Consider the following 10809-nt stretch of genomic DNA (forward strand, 5'->3'; position numbering starts at 1 on the left):
TGCATTTGTCTATTAAATTATGTAGAAAGCAAAACATGGAGTTTTAAACCAAAGTTACGATAATACTAGATTTAATATTTTCCCATATATTTACTTTTACTGGCATCTTTATTTCTTCATATGGCTTTGAGTTACTATCTAGTGTTCTTTCTTTTCAACCTGCATGATTCTCTTTAAGATTTCTTGCAGGGCAGGTCTAATGGTAGCAAACTTCTCAACTTTGGTTTATTTGGGGATTTCCCAATTTCTTCCTCACTTTTGAAGGACAGTTTTGCTGGATATAGGATTCTTGGTTGAGAGGTAGTGGTTGTTTTTCTTTTAGCCCTTTACATATGTCATCCCATTGTCTTCTGTTCTCCAAAGTGTCTGATGAGAAATCTACTTATAATCCTATTATATATTCCTAGCATGTGACTAGTTGCTTCTCTCTTGGTGCTTTCAAGAGGCCCTACTGGCTAATTATAATGTCTCAGTATGAGTCTTTTTTTTTTCATCCTACTTGGAGTCCATTGAGTTTTCTGGATATTTATTTTCATGTCTTTCATCAAATTTGGGAAGTGTTCAGCTTTTTTTTTTTCTTTTTTGAGACAGAGTCTCGCTCTGTTGCCCAGGCTAGAGTACAGTGGTGTGATCTTGGCTCACTGCAACCTCTGCCTCCTGGATTCAAGCGATTCTTCTGCCTCAGCCTCCTGAGTAGCTGGGACTACAGGTACGTGCCACCACGCCCAGCTAATTTTTTTTTTTTTAAACGGAGTTTCACTCTTGTTGCCCAGGCTGGAGGGCAATGGCACAATCTCGGCTCACTGCAACATCTGCCTCCTGGGTTCAAGCGATTCTCTTGCCTCATCCTCCCAAGTAGCTGGGATTACAGGCATGCACCACCACACCTGGCTAATTTTGTGTTTTTAGTAGAGACGGGGTTTCACCATATTGGCCAGGCTGGTCTCGAACTCCTAACCTTGTGATCCACCCACCTTGGCCTCCCAAAGTGCTGGGATTACAGGTGTGAGTCACCGTGTTCAGCCTCAGCCATTATTTCTTCAAATGATCTCTCTGCCCCTTTCCCTCTCTTCTTTTGGGACTTCCACAATGTCTGCTTGCTATTCAACAATCGTCCTTATTTCTGTTCCTCTGACTTGATCATTTCAAGTGTCCCATCTTCAAATTCACTGAATCTTTCTTCTGTTGCTCAAATCTGCTTTTGAATCCCTCTGGTGAACTTTTATTTCAATCACTACACTTTTAGTTCCAGAATTTATTTATTTTTTTTCTTTTTAGGTTTTCTATCTCTTTATTGATATTCCCATTTTGTTTACACATAATTTTACTGACTTTCTCCACATCTTCCTTCAGTTCTTTGACCATCTTTAAGAAAGTTGTTTTAAAGTATTTGTGTAGTAGGTTACCATCTGGTCTTTCTCTGGAACAGTTTCTGTTGTTGTTTTTCCTTTGAAATACCATATTTTCTTGTTTTTTGTATGCCTTGTGTTTTGTATTGAAAACTGGACACTTAAATCATGCTGCTATAAAGACACATGCACACGTATGTTTATTGCGGCACTATTCACAATAGCAAAGACTTGGAACCAACCCAAATGTCCAACAATGATAGACTGGATTAAGAAAATGTGGCACATATACACCATGGAATACTATGCAGTCATAAAAAATGATGAGTTCATATCCTTTGTAGGGACATGGATGAAATTGGAAACCATCATTCTCAGTAAACTATCGCAAGAACAAAAAACCAAACACCGCATATTCTCACTCATAGGTGGGAATTGAACAATGAGATCACATGGACACAGGAAGGGGAATATCACACTCTGGGGACTGTGGTGGGGTCGGGGGAGGGGGGAGGGATAGCATTGGGAGATATACCTAATGCTAGATGACACATTAGTGGGTGCAGCGCACCAGCATGGCACATGTATACATATGTAACTAACCTGCACAATGTGCACATGTACCCTAAAACTTAGAGTATAATAAAAAAAAAAAAAAAAAAGAAAACTGGACACTTGAATATAATAATGCAGTAACTCTGGAGATGAGACTCTCCTCTTCCTCAGGGTTTGCTGTTTTGGGGTTTTGTTATGTTTTACATTGTTGTAGGTTGTCTCCATGCTGAGGATCAACCTGAGTTGTAAGCTTGAGGTCTTCTCAGGTCTGAAGCTGCTCCTTTCCCTGGGCACACACTCCTCTCTCCAAGGATGTGTGGTAACTTTAATTTCCTCTGTGTATGCCATTGCTTTTGAGTGTCCTAGTCTTTAATGTTTGGCTCCCAAAAAAGGAAAAGAGAACAACGAAGGGGAAGGGAAATGGGGTTCTGGCCTTTTCTATCTCCTAGAAGTTGCTTCAGTCTGGTAAGGGCTTGCAGCAGTGGAGTGGGGAGTTGTGAGCAATAATGGCTGCCGGCCTCTGTGTTTGCCCTTCCATAATCAAAAGTAGCAATCAACAACCAGAACGCAGATGCTAACACTTGGAGGACAGAGTGCTTATCGCCCATGATTGTTCCCACAAGTCTTAGCCCAAGAAGTTAGAAGTGGTGCTCAAGTTTGTTTGTCTGACAGAAACTGTGAATCCACACTGGCCTGCTTATTTTGAGGTTGTGTTGCCAGAGCTTTCCTAGCATAATAAAGAGAGGTGCATACAAAGGAATAGGAATAGTAGGAGGTGGGGGTAAAAATATCAGGTGTGATCCACATGCCAAGCCGACCCGCACTGTGTCCCACAGGAAGCCCAGAAGATGTTTCTGTAAGAAATTAAGGATTCGTTTGTTGGGGAGGGCTGCTGGCATGCTTGAAAAGTACTGTGACGGCTGAATTTTGTGGGCTTGGGGAGATTGCAGATTCTCTGATTTCAAGGGGAATGATGTGATCCTAGAGTTGCAAAGAACAAGTGACAGTGGAGGCGCTTATGCTTTGTGACTGCACTAGAGACAAGGAAGACACAACTAGAATAATGGGGAGCAGGAATGGAGCGGCCAACAGAATATGTGACTGTTAGGGATCTTTGATGAAGGCTGATTCTCAGGGAGTGAACTAGATCAGTGACCAACTATTTGTCTTTATATAACTGGGTAATGTGGATGGATTCTAATAAAGGGACTACTTACAGCACAGCAGGAAAGTCACAAAGAAACCAGACAGAAGAGTGTAAGTAGTAAGGGGCCAAGCAGTCACCTGACTAGAGACAGTGCCAGCTTGCCAAGAAGGCACCAGACAGAAGCTGTGATCTTCAGCAAAGGGACACAGTCTGCCTGTGCTGACCCTGCAGGGGCAGAGGTGGGGGATACACACACTCTTCTCTCACCTATCTTCTGCCACCCCCTCCATTAGCTGAACCCCAATAAAAGCATGAGGGTAAGGGAGATCTCTGAAGTATCCAATTCAGGTGAGCCTCCTAAGGAACAAAGCAGAATGCAGAAAAATTAAGAGTGGGTCTAGGGAATAAAATAGAGATATGCACCAGAGTATGATGATGTGTCTGGGAAAGAATATACAAATACTTTTAAAATTACTAGACAATAAACCTGAGATGACACTAATACAGGTAAATCTCATTTAATGGTAATATATTCCAAGAAATGCATCATTAGGTGATTTTGTGGCTGTGCAGACACCAAAGAGTGTACTTTATACAAACCTAGACAGCGTAGCCTACTACATACCTAGGCTATATCGTACAGCCTATTGCTCCTGGGCTACACACCTGTGCAGCATGTCACTGTGCTGAATACAGTAGGCCAATGGTCCCCAACACCCAAGCCATGGACCAGCACCGGTTCGTGTCCTGTTAGGAACTGGGCACAAAGCAGGAGATGAGTGGCTGGCCAGCCGAGCATTACTGCCTGAGCTCCGCCTCCTGTCAGATCAGCAGCAGCATTAGACCTTCACAGGAGCACAAACCCTATTGTGAACTGCCCATACAAGGGATCTAGGTTATGTTCTCCTTATGAGAATCTAACTAGGCTGGGTGCTGTGGCTCACGCCTGTAATCCCAACACTCTGGGAGGTCGAGGCAGGTGGATCACAAGGTCAAGACAATCCTGGCCAACATGGAAACCCCGTCTCTACTAAAAATACAAAAATTAGCTGGGTGTGGTGGCGCATGCCTGTAGTCCCAGCTACTCGGGGGACTGAGACAGGAGAATCACTTGAACCCGGGAGGCAGAGGTTGCAGTGAGCCGAGATTGTGCCACTGCACTCCAGCCTGGCAACAGTGGGAGACTCAGTCTAAAAAAGAAAAAAAAAAGAAAAAAAAGAATCTAACTAATGCCTGATGATCTGAGGTGGAAGAGTTTCAGCCCAAAGCCATCCCCACTCCGTGGAAAAATTATCTTTCACAAAACCAGTCCCTGGTGTCAAAACTTTGGGGCCCACTGCTGTAGGCAGTTATATCACAGTAGTAATATCTAAACATGGAAAAGATACAGTAAAAACACAGTACATTGGGAGACCGAGGGGGGCGGATCACCTGAGGTTAGAAGTTCGAGACCAGCCTGACCAACATGGAGAAACTCCGTCTGTACTAAAAATACAAAATTAGCTGGGTGTGCTGGCGTGGGGCTGTAATCCCTGCTACTCGTGAGGCTGAGGCAGGAGAATCACTTGAACCCCGGAGGCAGAGGTTGCAGTGAGCCAAGATCGTATCATTGAACTCCAGCCTGGGCAACAAAATAAAACTCCTTCTCAAAAAAAACAAAGAAAAATATATATATATATATTACAAAATTTAAAGAGAGTGGTACACCAGTAAAGGACATTTAGCATGAACAGAGGTTGCAGGACTGGCAGATGCTCTGATGAGTCAGGGAGTACTTGGTGAGTGAATGCGAAGGCCTAGGATATTACTGTACATAACTATAGACTTTATATGCACTGTACACTTAGGCTACACTAAATGTATTTAAATTTTTTCTTTCTTTAACAAGTTCATCTTAGCTTATCATAACTTTATAAACTTTTAATTTTTTTAATTTTTTGATTCTTTGATAATAACACATCTTAAAACAAAAACACATTGAACAGCTGTACAGAAATACTTTATATCCTTATTTGATAAGCTTCATTTATTTTGATTTTTTATGTTTTAAACATTTTTGTTAAAAACTAAGATACAAACACACACACTAGCTTAGCCCTGTAAGGGTCAGGATAATCAATATCACTGTCTTCCATCTCGAAATCTTGTCCAAGTGAAAGGTCTTCAGGGTCTTCAGTGGCAATAACATACATGCAGCTGTCATTCTCTATGATAACAAGGCTTTCTTCTGGAAGAACTCGTGGAAGACCTTCCTGAAGCTGTTTTATAGTTAATTTTTTTTAATGAGTAGCAGTACTACACTCTAAAATATGAATAAAATCTATAGTATTATACATACTGTTGATCCTTGAACAGTGCAAGGGTTAGGGGACCAGCTCCTGTGCAGTTGAAAATCCATATATAATTCTGGGCTATCCCCAAACTTAACTTAATATACGATATATATCATATATAATATATATGATATATATCGTATATATTACATATGATATATATCGTATATAATATATACGATATATATCATATATAATATGTATGATATATATTATACACAATATGTATGATATATATTATACACAATATGTATGATATATATTATACACAGTATGTATGATATATATTATACACAGTATGTATGATATATATTATACACAATATGTATGATATATATTATACACAATATGTATGATATATATTATATACAATAAGTATGATGTATATTATATACAATATGTATGACATATATTATATACAATATATGATATATATTATATACTATATGATATAGATTATATACAATATATATGATAGAGATTATATCCAATATATATGATAGAGATTATATACAATATATATGATACAGATTATATACAATATATATGATACAGATTATAAACAATATATATGATACAGATTATATACAATATATATGATACATTAGATACAATATATATGCTAGATTATATACAATATATGATATAGATTATACACAATATATATGATATAGATTACATACAATATAAATGATATAGATTATATACTATATATGATATATATGATATATCATGGTATATCATATATATACCATGGTATATCATATATATATCATGGTATATCATATATATGATATATACGGTATATCGTATATATGATATAGATGATATATCGTATATATGATATAGATGATATATCGTATATATGATATAGATGATATATCATACCTGATATAGATGATAAATCATATATGATATAGATGATAAATCATACATGATATAGAAGATATATATCATATATGATATAGATGATATATATCATATATGATATATCATATATTATATAATAAATGAAAAATATTATCTATAATAAAAGATATATATTACATAATAAATGATATATATTATGTAAAATATATGATATATATTATATATTATATCTGATATATATTATATATTATATATTATATCTTTTATCTGATATATATTATATATTATATCTGATATCTGATATATTATATATTATATTATATATAATTATATTATATTATATTATATATTATATATAAAATTTATGATATATATTATATATTATATATAATTTATGATATATATTATATATTCTATATAATTTATGCTATATATTATATATTCTATATAATTTATGATATATATTATATATTCTATATCATATATATTATGGTATATTATATATAATTATATTATATATTATATTATATATAATATACCATAATATATCATATATTATATAATATATAATATAATATAATATAATATAATCATATATAATATATAATATATTATATTATAAAATATATTATATTATGATATGCTATATATTACATATTACATTATACAATATTTTATATAATATATAATGTATATTATATATTATACTTTATTATATTACATATATAATTATACATTATTATATTTCATATATAATTATATATATTATATTATATATAATATCTGTATAATAATATATATTATACATAATATTATATATTATGTTATATATAATATTATGTATAATATATATTATACAGAATATTATATATTATATTAAATATATTATATATTGTATTAAATATAATATTATATATTATATTAAATATAATATTATATATTATATTAAATAAAATATTATATATTATATTAAATATAATATTGTATATTATATTAAATAAAATATTATATATTATATTAAATATAATATTGTGTATTATATTAAATATAATATTATATATAAGGGATGCAGGATGTAAAAGGAAATTATATATATGTTATATATTATATATATTATATTATATATAATATATATATATATTTGGGGGTGCCCTATTTCCTATCTCATAACTTATTTTAAGAAGCACAGCATAATAATGTGTGGACTTGGGATTCAGTTTTTGAAACGAAACACTGAGCCTTCGATGACCTTCCTGTACATCTGAAAGCACACCTGTCTGCATGGCAGCAGTTGGACCTCACAGTGTGGATTGTGCCTTCACCCTGGAATGTTTATGCCCTATCGCCATGGTGATGGGATTAGGGATCTGCTGCCCTTGGTCCTAAGTGCCACTATCTGTGCTGAGTTTTTCAAAGGTCAGAGCAGATTGAACCATTGTGGTTTCATTTTCCCTGATTTTGATTTTTCTTATGGGGAACCTGTGTGGCTGCATTCAAGGTATGTTCATACTGGCCTGTCAAATGCGATCTTTTCAAATTACTAGTTAATGCTTTCAAAATATGTTATATAAAAAATTAGCCTCCGTATTTTCCATATGCAGTTATAAATATGTTTCATGATTATGTTTTATTCCTCAATTTATATATTTGATTATTGTACCAAGCAGAGTATCTTTGAAATTTTTCTTCATTTAAAAAATATGTATCTTGACTCAGGCCTGTAATCCCAGCACTTTGGGAGGCCAAGGCAAGAGGATCACAAGGTGAGGAGATCAAGACCATCCTGGCCAATACAGTGAAACCCTGTCTCTACTACAAATACAAAAAATTAGCCAGGCATGGTGGCAGCTGGTGTAGTCCCAGTGTGGTGTAGCCCCAGCTACCTGGGAGGCTGAGGCAGGACAATCGCTTGCACCCGTGAGGCAGAGGTTGCAGTGAGCCAAGAAGGCGCCATTGCATTCCAGCCTGTGCAACAGAACAAGAATCTGGTCTAAAAAAAATTATACATATATAATGTATATTATATGTACTATATATTATATATATCATATAATATATAATATATATAAAATATAATATACATTATATATAAATAATATATATTATATGTCACGTTATATATATAATATATTATATATAATATATTATATATAATATACATTATGTACATAATATATTATATATAATATATTTACATAATATACTGTATACATAAGATATATTATATATAATATATTATATAAATGTATTATATATAACATATTATATATAATATATTATATACCTAATATATATTATATATAATATATTATATATAATAAATATATTAGGTATATAATATTTACTATATATTATATATAATATATGTAATATAACATATATAATATATGACATATATAATATATATATTTTATATAGAATATATAATATAGATAATATACATATTATATAATATGTATCATATATTACATAAAATATATATCATATATAATATATATAACACATCATATATATTATATATAATATGTATGAAACATATTACATAATAAATGACATATATAATATATGATATATATTACATATAATATATGATATATATTACATATAATATATGACATATATTATATAGTATGTGACATATATTACATAAAATCTGTGACATATATTATATGTAATATATGATATATAATATATAATATATGATATATAATATATAATATATGATATATGATATATGATATATAATATATGATATATGATGTATAATATATAATATATGATATATATGATATATAATATTATATTACATATAATTATATTATATTACATTATATTATATATATCATAATATATTATATAATATATAATATATATCATAATATATTATAGAATATATAATATATAACATAATATCTTACATAATATATAATATATTATATAATATATATCATAATATCTTACATAATATATAATATATTATATAATATATATCATAATATCTTACATAATATATAATATATTATATAATATATATAATATCATCACATTCCCATAAATATATTATATATTATATTATTATAAAATACATAAGCCTATATAATGTTATATATAATATAATGTTATATAATATTATAGAATATAATATTATATAATATAGAATATTATATTATATAATAATATATGATATTATTTTATATAATAATATATGATATTATTTTATATAATAATATATGATATTATATTATATAATAATATATGATATTATATTATACAATAATATATGACATTGTATTATATAATAATATATAACATTGTATTATATAATAATATATAATATTGTATTATTTAATAATATATAATATATTATATAATAATATATATTATATTATATATTAATATATAATATTATATAATATAATATTATATAATGTTATATAATAATATATAATATAATATTATATAATATTATATAATAATATATGATATATTATATAATAATATATGATATATTATATAATAATATATAATATTATATTTAATAATATATAATATTATATAATAATATATAATATTATATAATAATATATAATATTATACTATATAATAATATATAATATTATACTATATAATAATATATAATATTATACTATATAATATTATATAATATTATATTATATAATATTATATAATATTATATTATGTAATAATATGTAATATTATATTATGTAATAATATGTAATATTATATTATGTAATAATATATAATATTATACCATGTAATAATATATAATATTATACCATGTAATAATATATAATATTATATCATGTAATAATATATAATATTACATCATGTAATAATATATAATATTACATCATGTAATAATATATAATATTATATCATGTAATAATATATAATATTATATTATGTAATAATATATAATATTATATTATGTAATAATATATAATATATTAGATTATAATATACATTATCTTATAATATATTATTGTATAATATATTATATATTATATTATATATAATATTATATTATATATAAAATATATATTATTTTATACAATATATTACATATAATATATTATATAAGATATTATATATATCTTATATAATATATTATATGTAATATATAATTTATATTATATATTATCTTGTATATATAATTATACATATTATATTATATGTAATAATTATATATAATTATATATTATATTATACGTAATAATTATATATAAGTATATATTATATTATATGTAATAATTATGTATAATATATATTATATTATATGTAATAATTATATATAATTTATGTATTATATTATATGTAATAAATACACATAAATATATATATTTTATTATATATAATATATATAATTGTATATTTTATTATATATAATAATTATTGATTATATTATATATTAATTATATTTTATATTATTTTTAATATTAATTGATATTAATTAATAATAAATTTAAAATATTAATTATTATTTTATATATTATATTATATTATATATTATATTATATATTATATTACATTATAT

The 10809-nt window shown here is 28.2% G+C and overlaps 1 annotated feature.

Annotated features, from left to right (window-relative positions):
- Positions 7824-8325: an enhancer, noted in NCBI's record as "OCT4 hESC enhancer chr22:18717837-18718338 (GRCh37/hg19 assembly coordinates)". NCBI's record gives its function as "activates a minimal SCP1, AML or CMV promoter by ChIP-STARR-seq in primed H9 embryonic stem cells {active_cell/tissue: H9 hESC(primed)}" and the evidence as "EXISTENCE:reporter gene assay evidence [ECO:0000049][PMID:30033119]".

The sequence above is a fragment of the Homo sapiens genome, chromosome 22 (assembly GCF_000001405.40).
Source record: "Homo sapiens chromosome 22, GRCh38.p14 Primary Assembly".
Lineage (NCBI taxonomy): Eukaryota > Metazoa > Chordata > Mammalia > Primates > Hominidae > Homo > Homo sapiens.